The sequence below is a fragment of the Homo sapiens genome, chromosome 2, assembly GCF_000001405.40.
Source record: "Homo sapiens chromosome 2, GRCh38.p14 Primary Assembly".
In the NCBI taxonomy this organism is placed as follows: domain Eukaryota; kingdom Metazoa; phylum Chordata; class Mammalia; order Primates; family Hominidae; genus Homo; species Homo sapiens.
In genome coordinates this window covers 197,897,031-197,913,940 of record NC_000002.12, presented here as the reverse complement: position 1 = coordinate 197,913,940, position 16,910 = coordinate 197,897,031, and the positions used below count along the sequence as shown (strand labels likewise).

Below are 16,910 nucleotides of genomic sequence, written 5' to 3'. Positions count from 1 at the left end.
ACTGGCAAAATTAATGTATATTCGAGATGGGTGAATTGTTTAAATATATATATATATATAAAACCAAGACATTCCCTACCCTTTTATGAAAAGGAAAGAGAAAACTTTGCCTCCACCATGGGGTCCAAGGCTGAACCCTAAACTACCATAGTTTGTGTCCAACCATAGGTTTGGAGGATTCTGGTAAAAAGTTAATTGAGTTCTTCCCCTAGAGTATTCTTACTGCCTTGAGTAAATCTTTCATGCAATGAGTAGACAAAGCATTTCTTCCTTGATCATTTGAGACTTCCTCAAGTTTATAAAGCAAGCTGTCTGATAAATGTTTACCTAAAAATATCTAAACATTGTATGTATGATGAAATTTGATCAAGTCTTGCTTTTATTGTAACCTGGTAGGGGAATGCGTAGTGGAATAGCTAACCTCTGCCCACCTCTAACTATGGGTAAATGTTATTTATTGAAAGAACCTAATCGTTTCTCATGACACATTGGCTTAGGTCAGTTTGCAACACCCCTGTAAACTGGTTGCTTTTTGCTGCTGCTATTATTTTACTTGCATTTTATGCTAAAAAGGCTTTAGTGATGAAGCAGTCTTTTCCCACAGCTGAATATCATTGGTGGAGACTAGAATTAGCAACTTCATTAGCATACGGGACTCTAACTTGGCAAACTGGCCCTTGGAGTCCAAATATGTTTAACATATACATGGATATCTTCCAAGTGTTTTCACATTGACTTTCTTTTTTTCCTAGTAACTAAAAGTGACTTCTGCCTCCAGAGAGAACACCCATGAAGTCGTGTGACAGGGGAAGCTATTCATTTCCTATTCATTAAGCCAAAATGTACACTTTCAGCTTTGGTCCCATCATTTTATCTCTACATATTTCAGCTTACATTGTTGGAGTCAGAAGGCATTTTCCAAACCAAAATTTGAAGATCCAGCATAAGAGAAAGCTTTTCATTTTTCTTTTTTTTTTTAATTTTTTTTTATTATACTGTAAGTTTTAGGGTACATGTGCACATTGTGCAGGTTAGTTACATATGTATACATGTGCCATGCTGGTGCGCTGCACCCACTAACTCGTCATCTAGCATTAGGTATATCTCCCAATGCTATCCCTCCCCCCTCCCCCCACCCCCCACCCCACCACGGTCCCCAGAGTGTGATATTCCCCTTCCTGTGTCCATGTGATCTCACTGTTCAATTCCCACCTATGAGTGAGAATATGCGGTGTTTGGTTTTTTGTTCTTGCGATAGTTTACTGAGAATGATGATTTCCAATTTCATCCATGTCCCTACAAAGGACATGAACTCATCATTTTTTAAGGCTGCATAGTATTCCATGGTGTATATGTGCCACATTTTCTTAATCCAGTCTATCATTGTAGGACATTTGGGTTGGTTCCAAGTCTTTGCTATTGTGAATAATGCCGCAATAAACATACGTGTGCATGTGTCTTTATAGCAGCAAGATTTATATTCCTTTGGGTATATACCCAGTAATGGGATGGCTGGGTCAAATGGTATTTCTAGTTCTAGATCCCTGAGGAATCGCCACACTGACTTCCACAATGGTTGAACTAGTTTACAGTCCCACCAACAGTGTAAAAGTGTTCCTATTTCTCCACATCCTCTCCAGCACCTGTTGTTTCCTGACTTTTTAATGATTGCCATTCTAACTGGTGTGAGATGGTATCTCATTGTGGTTTTGATTTGCATTTCTCTGATGGCCAGTGATGATGAGCATTTTTTCATGTGTTTTTTGCTTTTCATTTTTCTTGCCTAGTCAGAAAACCAAGTTGATGGATTCCAGACAGCACCTTCTTCCCAGCCATCACCTCGTGTGATAGCTAAGGCAGTTAATATAGATTCAGTGTTCCCTGTGGAAGTGTCCAATGCTGTGACTCAAATGTATTTTTAAGGAGGTCTAAAGGGACTGGCATTAGAAAATAATCCTGGAAGCATTAAGATGTATGAAGTGGTAGCGGCTCTCTCCATTTTCTTCAAAAGTATAACTTTCCAGAGACTCCTATGCATGCAAGGAATGCTTTCCAGGGGGTCGGGAATGTTTCTCCCTGTGTTCTGACAGGGACTCAAGGGCAGCATAAACTGGAACTCGGGACAAAAGGCACAGGCTATGTTGCAGGTCACTGAGCAAATGCCCAATGTTTTTACTGAAAACTCTTGATCTATTATCCTAGTGAATATTATATGCTAAAAGTGTTCAGGTGCCAGACTCAGGGTATTAGGCATTCCTCACAAATTGGACAGGAAGCTAAAGAAACAAGAGAAGGAAAAGAGGGGAATAATTAACAGTATTAGCAACTCCCAAATCCTGGCCTAATTCATACTCTTAATGCCTGGAAGCAAAGGGTGATCTTCCAAAGGTAAATAAAGTACAATATTTTATGCAGTTCTAATTAATATTTAAACCATAATTTCTGAAGCAAACCTGATTATTTTTTCTATTCTTGGAGAAAACTTGATTTTCAGATATTCCCTCAAATATAAAAGGGAATATCCGAAAATCAAGAAAAAAATATTTTCTTTTCTAAATTGCTAAACTTTATTTTTTATTTTATTTATTTATTTATTTATTTTTTGAGACAGGGTCACACTCTGTCACCCAGGCTGGAGCTCAGTGGTACTATCACAGCTCACTGCAGCCTCAGCCTACCCAGGCTCAGTTGATCCTCCCACCTCAGCCTCCAGAGTAGCTGGGACTAAAGAGGCAAGCAACCAGCTAATTTTTGTATTTTTGTCGAGATGGGGTTTCCCCATGTTGCCCAGGCTGGTCTCAAACTTGTGAGCTCAAGTGATCTGCCCGCCTCAGCCTCCCAAAACTAAAGTATTATTAAAAGATGACTGAATCAGTGTGCTTTTGGAGTTTTTGAATAAGGTGTATTATACCCAAAATATCAACATTCTGGATTGTGATTCATTTCACAATGTGTTCAGGCTTAGTTTACTTTAAATAAACATCCTGTCCATTAATTTTATATCAAAATATAAAGCTTCCACTTCTAGATCATCTTTATTCTAGCTTCCCTCTTACATTTTATAGAACAATAATAGAAACACAAGTTATTTTATTTTGAAGTAAATACTAAATGTAATATGCGTTACATTGAACACTAAGCTATTTACTTCTCACATCATTTATTGCAGGATATTTGAGTCAGGCAGAAAAGGTTAAGAAATTAACTCTGAATTAACCTGGAATTCAAGTTTAAGGGAATTGAGGGGAAAGGGGATATTTTCGGGTTGCCGGGAATAAAGGAATATGGTTTGATATCAGAAGCCTGTGAGAACAGAGATGAATAGGATGAAGATTCTGCTTCAAAGCAATTGACCATCAAGTAGAGAAGAGACTGATGTGCAGTAAGAAACAGAGTTTCTCACCCAGATATTGAGGTGAGCTGATAAACAAAAATAAACAAACAAAAAACCTGAAAGGGCAAGAAAAGGAGCAATCATCTCTGAGATGGTCGTGGGGTAAAAGGAGGGCTTGGGTAAAGCCCTTGGAGAAGGTGAGCTAATATTTGTTGAGTGTCTACTAATTCCTGCCCAAGTAGGACAAGATGGTCCACTTAAATCTTAAAACAGTCCTCTGAGAATGGTACAGTTTTACAGAAGATGAAACCAAAGGTTACAGAACAAAATGCTTGGGCATCTTCAGTGATCAATCGTGCAGCTAGGAAAGAAGAGATCCACCAGGGAAATGAAGTATGAATGGTTCCAAAATCCATCTCCTTTTCACTAAAAACACTTGCTTTCCTAAGAAGATATGCTAACCATCTTGTATACATTAACCCACCTAATCTCATTTAATCCTCACCTAAATCCCTGTGCAATAGGCATGGTTAACCCCAGTTTACAGATGAAGAAAGCAAGTCCAAATAAGCAAGTTAACTTGACCAAAGCGCCACACTTTGACCAAAGTCAAAGATTCAAACAAAGTCTGCCTCACTCTCACTTGAAGATCAGCTTGAAATCTGAGTAGAACCACAATAGGTGCAGATGAAGGAGAGATTCAAAGAGAGCTCACTTCCCATTTCCCTACACTGATGCCTGGAGGTCACAGTACCTGCAAAGCCAGAATTGAGGGTCCACTGGACTTTTTATTTTCCCAAAGAATATTTACTACATCCTATGACCCTTATCAAAGGGCAGACAGCATAAACTTTATAAGCCGACTGCTACCAGCACAACTTTTCCCTAGAGAACTCCACTCTCCAGAATTCCAGGCCACCATCCAAAATTCCAAATACCCTCAGAGAGGGAACTCTGAGGTAAACAGATCCCATCTTCAGAGAGTAACCAAAGAGCCTCTGGCCATGACTCAGGAGATTAGCCACTGCCTTGATTCATCTCTGCAAAGTCAGCCTGTGGGGCTTCCCAGAGCCATGAGGAGGAAGTGGGCCAGGAAGGAATCAATAATTGCCACCCACAGATGTGCCTGTGAGTGCTATAAAGGGAATGACCGAGAACACCTAGGGGAGGTTCTCAGAACACGCAGCCAGTCCTCTATGTTGGAGCAAGTCTTAGTTCTTCCAGGCACGAATTTTTAGTGCCCACTTCTGTTCCTTAGCAAAAAAGGAAAAAAAAAAAGAGAAAAAGAAAAGAAAGCAGGAATGAACTTTTAATAACATTCTTTCAAACCAGAATGGGCAAGAAAGGTTTTTCCAGCTATATATGGAAAAATGTCCTGGCTCTGCCAAGTACCTAAAGGAGACTTCCAATCCTCTGACGTATGAAATCATGATCTAAACAACAAATTCCGAGCTCAAAACAGTTTCCAAGGGAAGAAAAGGGAGCTCAGTTATCCAAATGTGTGCATACCTTCTGGACTAGCAGCAGTGGGAAACTGAATGCCGCATTTATCCTTGAAGATTAAATCTTCTGCAAGAGAAATAGCATGAGTCTCGTGTTTGGTCCTTGAGTGACTCCTCTCTTCTATAACTTTACAGACTTTTAAATAACCATTATCATCAATCTTGAAACAAAACAATCAAATACTTGACCATGTTGAGCTAATTCTTAAATCAATTATAAGAATATTTTATTCAACAAAATATAAAGTATTTTTACACACATTTTCTATTTTTAAATGTAATTTTTAAAAATATATAATGGAGTATAAAAGAAAAAAGAAGAGCATTATTTCAGACAATATCACCTCTTCTATACTGCAAATATATCATGAGGTTTTTTTAAGTTAGGATATTAAATGTCATTAAATAAAGACATGATTAGGAAATGCTTATCGGGTCTAAGGTATTTCATTAACATTTATGTTTAGCTGACTTGATAAGAAGATGAGTTAGAAAGTATGGTTATTGCAAGCATATTAAATGAGGACCTGGTGGCCATGGGCCCAAGGAAGAGAACACTTGAGAGTAAATTTCTTCTGAGGCTTGAAGACTATCTCATGGAAGAGAAAGTAGACTTGTTGTGAATAACTCCAAAGACATCAAAAGGATCACTGGACAGAGGTTAGGAGCAAGGCAGATGCGGGGTCAATATAAGGAAGAACCTTCAAACTATTTTAGCTGCCCAAAGATAGAATGAGTAATTCATTCTCTTTTGCTAGAAATATGTAAGCGAAAGTTAAGCACCTGGCAGGGATTCTTTACTATTTTTAGCAATAGAGAATACATTCCTATTTTATTTCTAGTCAGCACTGATATTTCCTAACAATTGTGATTTTCAAAGGGATTTCCCCATGGGTTGCTCAAATTCTCTCGTTCAAAACTAAATCCTTATTTTTTCTCTTAAGCAGCATGTCTATTTTTGCTATCTCAGTAAAAGGCACCTTCATCCATCCATTGCAAAAGCTCAAAGCCTATGCAATGTCTTATACTCATCTTCTTTCTCATGCTAAATATGTGATCACTTCCCAAGTCTTATCCATTCTCCCTCTCAAATATCACTCACGTCAGATGATAGGTTAAAAAAGATGACCCTCTTGTACAAGAGCAGTGGCCCTCAACCTTAGCTGCTCATTAGAATCATCTAGAGAGTACTTAGAATGTAAGGTGATTTTAATATTCTCAAGCTGTGCCCCAGACCAATTAAATACAAATCTCTGTGGGATAGACCAGGCATTAGCAGTTTAGCTCTCAGGTGATTTCAATGTGCAGCCAGAACTGAGAACCATTGAAAAAGAGGCAAGAAGGCCAGACAAGAAGGTACTGAATTGAAGTAATCAAAATATGAAATTATGCACTAGGGTAGTTACAATTGGAATTGAAATTTGAAAAATATTTTGAGACAATTGAGAGAGATACTGGAACACAGTGCCAACCTCTCATGGCAGTTCTTTTCATCCCATGCCATGGTCAGAAATAACCCAGCAACCAATTACTTCCCAAAGTAACTGAAGGTAAAGGTATCTGAATGGATCAGCTCAAACTTTTCACTATCCCTGAGGAACAACCTACACTGAGTTAGGCAGGTAGATCACTTGAGATTAGGAGTTCAAGACCAGCCTGGCCAATATGTGAAACCCCGTCTCCACTAAAAATACAAAAGTTAGCCAGGCGTGGTAGCACAGGCCTGTAGTCCCAGCTACTCAGGTGGCTGAGGCAGGAGAATGGCTTGAATACAGAAGTCAGAGGTTGCAGTGAGCCAAGATCACACCACTGCACTTCAGCCTGGGTGACAGAGCAAGACACTGTCAAAAAAAAAAAGAAAGAAAAAGAAAAAAGACTATTTGAATATCTTTTATTTCTTTCTCTTGCCTGATTGCCCTGGCCAGAACTTCCAATACTATGTTGAATAGGAGTGGTAAGAGAGGGCATCCTTGTCTTGTGCTGATTTTCAAAGGGAATCCTTCCAGCTTTTGCCCATTCGGTATGATGTTGGCTGTGGGTTTGTCATAAATAGCTCTTATTATTTTGAGACATGTTCCATGTCTCTCTGTCTCTGTTTGCAGATAACATGATTGTATATTTAGAAAACCCCAGCATCTCAGCCCAAAAACTCCTTCAGCTGATAAGCAACTTCAGCAAAGTCTCAGGATACAAAATAAATGTGTAAAAATCACAAGCATTCCTATACACCAATAACAGACAAACAGAGAGCCAAATCATGAGTGAACTCCCATTCACAATTGCTACAAACAGAATAAAAATACCCAGGAATACAACTTACAAGGGATGTGAAGGACCTCTTCAAGAAGAACTACAAACCACTGTTCAAGGAAATAAGAGACGACACAAACAAATGGAAAAACATTCCATGCTCATGGATAGGAAGAATCAACATCGTGAAAATGGCCTTACTGCCCAAAGTAATTTATAGATTCGATGCTATTCCCATCAAGATACCATTGACTTTCTTCACAGAATTAGAAAAAACTAGTTTAAACTTAACATGGAACCAAAGAAGAGCCAGTATAGCCAAGACAATCCTAAGCAAAAAGAACAAAGCTGGAGGCATCATGCTACCTGACTTCAAACTATACTACAAGGCTACAGGAACCACAACAGCATAGTACTGGTACCAAAACAGAGATATAGACCAATAGAACAGAACAGAGAACTCAGAAATAACACCACACATCTACAACCATCTGATCTTTGACAAACCTGACAAAAAAAAAAAGCAATAGGGAAAGGATTCCCTATTTGATAAATGGCATTGGGAAAACTGGCATTCAGAAAACTGAAACTGGGCCCCTTCCTTACACCTTACACAAAAATTAACTCAAGATGGATTAAAGACTTAAACGTAAGACCTGAAACCATAAAAACGCTAGAAGAAAACCTAGGCAATACCATTCAGGACATAGGCATGGGGAAAGACGTCATGACTAAAACACCAAAGCAATTGCAACAAAAGCCAAAATTGACAAATGGGATCTAATTAAACTAAAGAGCTTCTGCACAGCAAAAGAAACTATCATCAGAGTGAACAGGCTACCTACAGATTGGGAGAAAATTTTTGCAATCTATCCATCTGACAAAGGGCTAATATCCAGAATCTACAAAGAACTTAAACAAATTTACAAGAAAAAAACAACCCCATCAAAAAGTAGGTGAAGGATATGAACAGACACTTCTCAAAAGAAGACATTTATGCAGCCAACAAACATATGAAAAAAAGCTCATCATCAGTGGTCATTAGAGAAATGCAAATCAAAACCACAATGAGATACCATCTCACGCCAGTTAGAATGGCGATTATTAGGAAGTTAGGAAACAACAGATGCTGGCAAGGCTGTGGAGAAATAGGAACGCTTTTACACTGTTGGTGGAAGACAGTATGGCGATTTCTCAAGGATCTAGAACCAGAAATACCATTTGACCCAGCAATCCCATTACTGGGTATATACCCAAAGGATTATAAATCATTCTATTATAAAGACACATGCACATGTATGCTTACTGCAGCACTATTTACAATAGCAAAGACTTGGAACCAACCCAAATGCCCATCAATCATAGACTAGATAAAGAAAATGTGGCACATATACAGCATGGAATACTATGCAGCCATAAAAAAGAATGAGTTCATGTCCTTTGCAGGGACATGGATGAAGCTGGAAACCATCATTTTCAGCAAACTAACACAGGAACAGAAAACTGAACACTGCGTGTTCTCACTCATAAGTGTGAGTTGAACAATGAGAACACATGGACACAGGGAGGGGAACATCACACACTGGGGCCTATTGGGGGATAGGGTGCTAGGGGAGGGATAGCATTAGGAGAAATACCTAATGCATGTGGGGCTTAAAACCTGGATGACGGGTTGATGGGTACAGCAAACCACCATGGCACATGTATACCTATGTAACAAACCTGCACATTCTGCACATTTATCCCAGAACTTAAAGTATAATAAAAGAATTTTAAAATTAAAAAAGGAGAAAAAAAATGAAGCATTTGTGCAAGAAGACAACAAAATGCTTTATCAGAGTCACCTATGGCATGCCCTGAAAAATTAGATGCTAAAAAAGTTTTGGCTACCTACAAAGCAAGGAATGTGTCCATCTAAATCACATTCTAAGATCTAATATTTACATATGTGATATTCATAAATATTAGAGCTAATAATACTTTTGATAATTGACTAAATATTATTCTTAAGATTGAAATTTTTATTATATGCAACAAACAAAATTTTTCTTCAAAAATTTTTTTCTAATTAACAGAATTATGCACATATTATCATATGCATTTAGTTCAAAGATAAAATCACTGTCAGACCAATATACCTTGCCATCCCTAGAAACAGCCCTGATTTACCACAACTATTTCCTCAGGAAGTGGGGTGGGAGTAGAAAGCCACTAAACTCCTACACTCGTCTGTCAGCCCATGACACTCTGTGATGGCACAAGAAACCCAAGAATAGGCCATGAAATGAGTTAAAGTCATATACTGTAGGCACCCTACTCCGACTTCCTGGGCCTGCTCAGTGTATTGCCAAGAAAAAACCAATAAAGGAAATCTGTGACTATCCATTAAGCCAAATTTTACTGCCTTTTTCTAAACTTTCTAATACAAAAGAAATGAAATAAAACCATCTAAGGGAACGACTTTTTAAACCCTGCAAAAAGAATACAAGTACATGAGATGAGACCATGAAGAAAAACAACGGAATAAAGAACCCAAAATTCAGTTAAGGGAATACCTCTGAAGTGGAGAGAAAGGGAAGGGCCTAGGGAGGAGAACATGCAGAACTCCAAAGGAAACAGTAATGCTCTGCTTCCTAAACTGACTGTCTGATGTTCACACCAGATGTTTGTTTTATTCTTCTTTGCACCTTTCACATATCTAATGAGTATTTATGTAATTAATACCTAAAACAATGTTTAAAGATTGTTTTTGGGCCAGGTATGGTGGCTCACGCCTGTAATCCCAGCACTTTGGGAGGCCGAGGTGGGCAGATCGCCTAAGGCCAGGAGTTCGAGACCAGCCTGGCCAACATGGTGAAACACCGTCTCTACTAAAAATACAAAAATTAGTTGGGTGTGGTGGTACATGCCTGTAATCCCAGCTACTCGGGAGGCTGAGGCAGGTGAATCGCTTGAACCCAGGAGGCGGAGATTGCAGTGAGCCGAGATCGCACCATTGCACTCCAGCCTGGTCGACAAGAGCGAGACTTTGTCTCAAAAAAAAAAAAAAAAAGGCCGGGCACTGTGGCTCACGCCTGTAATCCCAGCACTTTGGGAGGCTGAGGCGGGCAGATCACGAGGTCAGGAGATCGAGACCATCCCGGCTAACACGGTGAAACCCTGTCTCTACTAAAAATACAAAAAAAAAAAAAAAAAAAAAAAAAAATAGCTGGGCGTGGTGGCGGGCACCTGTAGTCCCGGCTACTCAGGAGACTGAGGTAGGAGAATGGCGTGAACCCGGGAGGAGGAGCTTGCAGTGAGCCGAGATCTCGCCACTGCACTCCAGCCTGGGCGACAAAGCGAGACTCCGTCTCAAAAAAAAAAAAAAAAAAAAAAAAAAAAAAAAATTTAAATGGAGTAAAAAGGAAGATACATAGATTTTTGTCCCAAGCCTGAAACTGTGTAACCTTTAGCCAGATATTCCTCTGAGATTTATTTTAGTAAAATACAGGCATTGGACTAGAGCAGGAGTAGGCAAACTGGGGCTCATCAGCTGCTTTTATAAATAAAGTTTTATTGAAACATAAGCAAATCCATGCGTTTGCATAGTGTCTGTGGCTGCTTTTACAACAGTAGCTAGTGGTAAGTAGTAGCAATAGAGATCATATGTTCTGAAAATCCTAAAACATTTATTATATGATCCTTAAGAAAGGTTCCCAACCTTGGGCTGGGGAATTATCGTGGTTTCGCCTAACTAACAAAGGCTAATATTAAGGGGAAAAATGGTAGTATCAAAACACGCTAACACCTGTTGGCTCACTGATGGACCAAAATTTATTTTTGGTACTTTCCATAAATGTTTTGTTTAGGTTAAATGCCCCATATTTGTAAAATCTCATGAACTGTATCAACAGATTTTAAACATATATTTTGTACAGTGTATCAATAGTAACAGGAGTGCAGAATCAGCACTCTCCTGAGCTGGATGCTGAGATCTGTCTCTGAAACTAAAGCTTGTAACTGAAAACCTGGGCTGGGAAATCTCTGAAGCCCAAGACACTCCAGCTCTTGTGAAGACTCTCAGCTCACTTAGAATCAGAGAAGTTCATTCCCAGAACTCCCCATATGCTGTCCCAGGGTTTTCTCAAGGAGAGTTTTAGTCTCAGCATACACATGTATGCACATGGAAAAGCCTGGCATTTGTCATTTTTAAATGCCAAGAGTGGTAAGTTCATCCTGTTCTTCATACCAGTATGTTCACTTTTATATCTGGGCAAACAATCCATTAGCCTACAAAACTATTAGGGAACTGCCTATTCCAGAGATAAAAAACAGGAAAATATTTTCTCCTCAAACTTTTTCCTGTATAGCTGTAGCTCTTTGTTCTCCTTGATGTCCTCCTGTGACATCAATGATCCAATGTCACGTTCACACTTGGGACTGACAGCTGCCAAACCCAAACTTGCCATGCTGCCTAAAGTCCAACAATTACTTGGATGACCAAGTAGCATGAATGACCGGAAACCACTCTGAGTACCTAACTTCTGGTTCTGAAAAACCCATGAAATTAACTAAAACTAAGACATTGGTTGGAACTATATCCATTCCAGGGTCTATAGATTCACAAGAGCAACAAGCCCAGAATTCCCTTCCTTGGCTGTCCTAGGATAGCTGCGTATCAGGCCCACAAAAGGGTCGTAATGCAGAAAATGGGGCTGCTCAGTGCCCCAACAGTCTCTGGAGCCACAGCCAGTATGCCATCCTTGTTTGACACATAGTGCTTCTGTTATTTTCATTTAACTGAAAGCAACAAATCTCCTTTTTTCCCTCTAAAAATAAGAGTTTATGAGGGTTTATATGATTTCTTTTCTAGCCTGCATTTCATGTGCATAGATCAAAGTTACTTGTTTGATAAGAAGTGCTTAACATAGGAAACTATTTTGGTATATAGGTCTTTAGGGAATTTTGACTTTGGGCAAGAAAGAACACTTGGAGTCGAAATGAGAGGACCTGGATTCTAGTTTTTTGTATCAAGCTGGAAAGGCACCTAACCTCTCAAGACATATTTTTCTGAAGTAAACTTATTGGAATAAGTGATCTGAAGATAACTCTCATCTGCCTCCTTTCAATGAATAACTTTGCTCCCAAATCTAATGAGCTTGAAGCTTTGAAAGAAACTCCTTGATGTCTTCACTTCAAATTGCTCTGAATCTTTATCCTCTCGGTCTCTGCTTCCTCTCTCTCTCTCAGTTGGAAATATCCTTCCTTCTTAAGGTACACTTTCCACGCTGGCTCCCCTTCTGTCTCTTCTGGAACATTGCTGTTGCCTGAACGTGACCCATAATATTCGATCTCTATGCCTCTGCTCATGATATATTGTCATCCTACTTCATCGGAAAATCTCATGCAAGATCCAACAGAAATCCCACTTACTGCCTCTTGCCTTTTCTGAATCTTTACTGGTAGTGATCCCTTTGTCCTGTGCATCTCACCAGCTTTTATTTTATTTATTTATTACAGTACTGACCTGTATCAAAAAGATTGTATATTTTTGCCTTTTCTGCTAGATTATAAATTCCTCATTTCTTAGTTAACTTCCTATGCCTTATAATGTCTTACACAAAATAAGCACTCAACCTGTACTGAGTAATGATGAATAAAGTAGATTAAAAGTCTCCTCATATACTGATTCTGGATTCTGATTCGAAAAAGCTTCACTTCTATTGTCTGTAGCCCTTATCATGAAAGGGGTACACTTTAGAAACACATATCTTTATTATTGAGTAAATTATCAGCTAGTCACAAATTCGATCCCAAAAGACATCACTTCTCAATGTGTATGTACCTAATCCATTTTTCTGTTTCCCTAGTTTAGAGATTTTTTTCAAAATCCCAGGAAGTAAAGTTGAGTAAGGGAGAGACTGGCAACAAAGGCTTAAACAAAACACTTACAATCTTTGAAGAAAAATCACTGTAGACAGGAAAGCCTTGAGGTAGGAATGGGACTTCCACTCCAAACAACTTACTCTTGCATCTTCCAAGAAAAACCCTCCAGAAAAGCCCTTAGATTTTACTGCTTGTCAAAAGTTAGCATTTTTTTCTTGTTTTGAAAAAACATTATTTATGACAACCCTTTCACTTTGTAAACATACAATAAATAATTAGTTGAGTGAAAACAACTTAACAGTAAGAGCACAAAAGACTAAGAGGTAGTAATAAAAACTGAAATGAGAAGTCAAGTGTTCAATTTATTTTGCCCAGATTCTCCAGGGATTTTGTACTAGGGCTAAGTTAGACAATGATCCCGAGGTCCAAGGACTATTCTTTCACACATTGGTGAGACCCACAGCATCTTCTGCACTCAAATGTTTCTGAATATTTATACTCTTGGACAATATATTTAAATATACAACATTAAATTCTGTTTTCTTATTCTTTTCTTAATTTTCCCAAGATTCACTTTATTTCTTCTCAGTCCATTCCATTCCATCTTAATCACTATTTCTGACTCCTCTTATGAAAACAATCATGATCTTTAGCTCCATTTCACCTAAACTTAGAATTTACTGTCCTACTTAATAGATTCTAAAATATTTCCTCTGTAAAGTTGGTAAGCTGTCTTGCATGTATTTATTCAGTTAGTGAATATTTATTGGCCACTTACTATATGTACTCACTCTTCTAAGTGCTGGAAATACAGCAGTGATCAAAACACACAAATTACTGCTCTCAAAGAGCTTACATTTTAGTGGTGGGGACAAACAATAAACACATGTATGTCAGGAGGTGTTAAGTGCTATAAAGAAAAGTGAGGCAGGTATGGGACTAGAAAGTGCTGTGAGGAAAGTACTAGCTTAGGTAGCATGGTGAAGGGCAGAGTGGGGTAGCAAACCTTACAAAAGTCTACAGGAAGAACATTCTTGGTAGAAAGAACTCATGTGGGCCGGGCGCGGTGGCTCACGCCTGTAATCCCAGCACTTTGGGAGGCCGAGGCGGGCGGATCACGAGGTCAGGAGATCGAGACCATCCTGGCTAACACGGTGAAACCCCGTCTCTACTAAAAATACAAAAAATTAGCCGGGCGTGGTAGCGGGCGCCTGTAGTCCCAGCTACTCGGGAGGCTGAGGCAGGAGAATGGCGTGAACCTGGGAGGCGGAGCTTGCAGTGAGCCGAGATCGCGCCACTGCACTCCAGCCTGGGCGACAGAGCGAGACTCCGTCTCAAAAAAAAAAAAAAGAAAGAAAGAACTCATGTGCCAAGGCCCTGAGGCAGAATCCTTCTTAGTCTGGTTAAGGAATAGCAATGGATAGTTAGAAAACTCTATAGCCCATCAGATTATACTAGCTGAAGACTTCATTTAATTAAGGTTCATAAACCTTCTACTATTATTTAAATTACTTTCCAAATAGAAATTGTCACATGAAACAAAATAATCTAAACTACACTGTCCTCTTGAATTAATTGCTGAGTACCAGTAGGTATTCAGACAGTGACAGATGGACAAAACCATTTTCTGGCTCTAAAGCATCCTAGATGTGAAAATGACTTTGTGTGATAGTAATTCATTTCCTCCAAAGTCTTATTCTTATTCTTATCCTTAGTCTGTCTAAGTAAATGAAATGACAACCTAAATATATGTAAATTATGAAATATGTGTCTAAAAATTCTTCACGATACTTAATCACTAGCATCATTATTCTTATTTATGTGCTCTCATTCTCCTCCACTGGATTGTAAATTCCATGAGAGCAGAGAATCTGTTTTGTTTAACACTATTCCCAGTGTCTGGAAAACAGTACTTGAGTTGTATACTAGACACTCAATGAATATTGAAGATCAAACAGGAATACAACAAAAAGGAGACAGAAATATGCTGTTACTTTGGTTAAAGACAGCCTATGTCATTGAGGTGATGGCAATAAGAAAACCAGTAATATTGTGTGAGTCTTTATCGAACGGCAGGTACTGTGCTGAATGCTCTACAGTGCAGTATGCAGTGTATACAACAACTTTTCGAAGTAAATACTATTATTATCCTTATGCTACAATTGAGGAAACAGAGGCTGAAAAGGTGAGTATGACCAATTTGCAAGCATCAGAGTTCAGGTTCGAACACAGGGTATTTGAGTCAAGGACTAAAGAAACTAGGAAATACATACACACACACATTTATATTAATAAATTATAAGTATTGTAAAAATGTTCTATCAGGAAGACAAAACTAGGAACAGAGCACAAAGTTAAGGATGAACAGGTACTTGTCAGATAGAAGAAGGGCAAAACATGAGGGTTCTCTTGGGCATGATGCCAAGATCAGCCTTGCAGTACATTTTATAAATGGACTAGAAGAGACTGAGTAATCTGATGTTTCAAATTTTGCAAATGACACATTAAGCATCTTTGGGGTGTGAAATGCCAACCTGATAAAAATAAAACAAAGTACACTTAGAGAATGACAAGCTATAAGTTCACAGAGCCCAAGAACGGGATCTGGCAACTTCATGAAGCAGGTAGGTGTCTTTCTGATTTCCATTTCAGTACTTGCTTTCCTGGTTCAGAGCATTCCACTGTCCTCTGATCTATCAAGACCCTTGAGCCCAGTAACCTACCTCATGGCATAGTTAAGGCAAGAAGGCCCCCAAGAACTCATAGAGTTAGCCAAGACCTGAAATTTGAACTAACTACACTTGGTGTTCAGATCAGGACATCCAGCCCTGCCAATCAGAAAGATCTAATTAGTCCCAGTCTGCAAGGGAACAAATGCCAGAAGACTACAACTCAGCTCAGCTGTACCTTCTCAAACTGGACAGACGCCTTTTAGCTAAAATGCGTGGCTTCTCTACACGGAGATGGTGAGCCTGTGGAACTTATTACTATAATATATGGCACAAACTGAAAATACAACTGTAGCATAAGAACTTTTAATGAATTCATGATCATGAATCCAAATGGGATTTCAGGTAAACTAGGGCCACTTCTGACATAACAAAAATCAGTTTCAGCTCCTGTCACATGCTTCTTGAGGTAACATTGGATATGCGATACTAGAGCTGAATGGATCACAGATCTGACATATGTGAAAATTCTCATATAAAATATTTAGTAGCTACCAGACCTCAGAATAACAAATTTGCCTCTTAATGCTTTAACACTTAAATCCTTTAATGCATATTCACCTGACATCCAGAAACCAGCAATCTTTATGTTTTTGGTCACTAAACAAGTAATTACAGCATTAAAAATGTTCATTAACAAATAAATATCTTATTAATTAAAGCAAACAATAATTTTTGTTTGTTTTTTTCTCATTTAATGCATATTAAAAAAATAAGTTAGGTACCCTTATTATTCTGATATTTTAGATAAGAAAACTAAGGATTTTAGAAGTTCTGTGACTTAGCCAAGACACTATGGCTATTAGTTGGTAGAGCAGGTAGCCAAACCCTGACGGTATGGCCTCAGAAGCCACACTATGAACCACAAACACTCTATATTGCCTCCATTGTCTTCTACAATAATGCAAATTCATTATAATGTACATCCTTACATATTAATCTGCAAATTAAATCCTCTATTTCAGCACAACTAGATACAACATATAACAAGTTAAACAAAAAAGAAGAGGAAGAGGAAGAAGGAGGAAGAAGAAGAGGAAGAAGAGGAAGAAGAAAGAAGAAGGAGAAGGAGAAGAAGAAGAAGAAGAAGAAGAAGAAGAAGAAGAAGAAGAAGAAGAAGAAGAAGAAGAAGAAGAAGAAGAAGAAGAAGAAGAAGAAGAAGGAGTCATACTTCTATCCCCAAAGGTATCATTATGGAAATGTTCAACTATACTGTTTGGCTTAATCACA

General features: G+C 38.6%; 1 protein-coding gene across 2 annotated transcripts in view, besides 1 other annotated feature; it reads right to left on the bottom strand.

Annotated features, from left to right (window-relative positions):
* PLCL1 (phospholipase C like 1 (inactive)) overlaps nucleotides 1-16,910 on the bottom strand; it is a 345,271-nt gene that overhangs the window by 235,923 nt on the left and 92,438 nt on the right. The window lies entirely within an intron of this gene.
* Nucleotides 3,843-5,042: an enhancer, noted in NCBI's record as "CDK7 strongly-dependent group 2 enhancer chr2:198773623-198774822 (GRCh37/hg19 assembly coordinates)". NCBI's record gives its function as "activates an origin of replication core promoter dependent on BRD2, BRD4, P300/CBP, MED14 and CDK7 cofactors, with strong dependence on CDK7, by STARR-seq in HCT116 cells {active_cell/tissue: HCT116}" and the evidence as "EXISTENCE:reporter gene assay evidence [ECO:0000049][PMID:35650434]".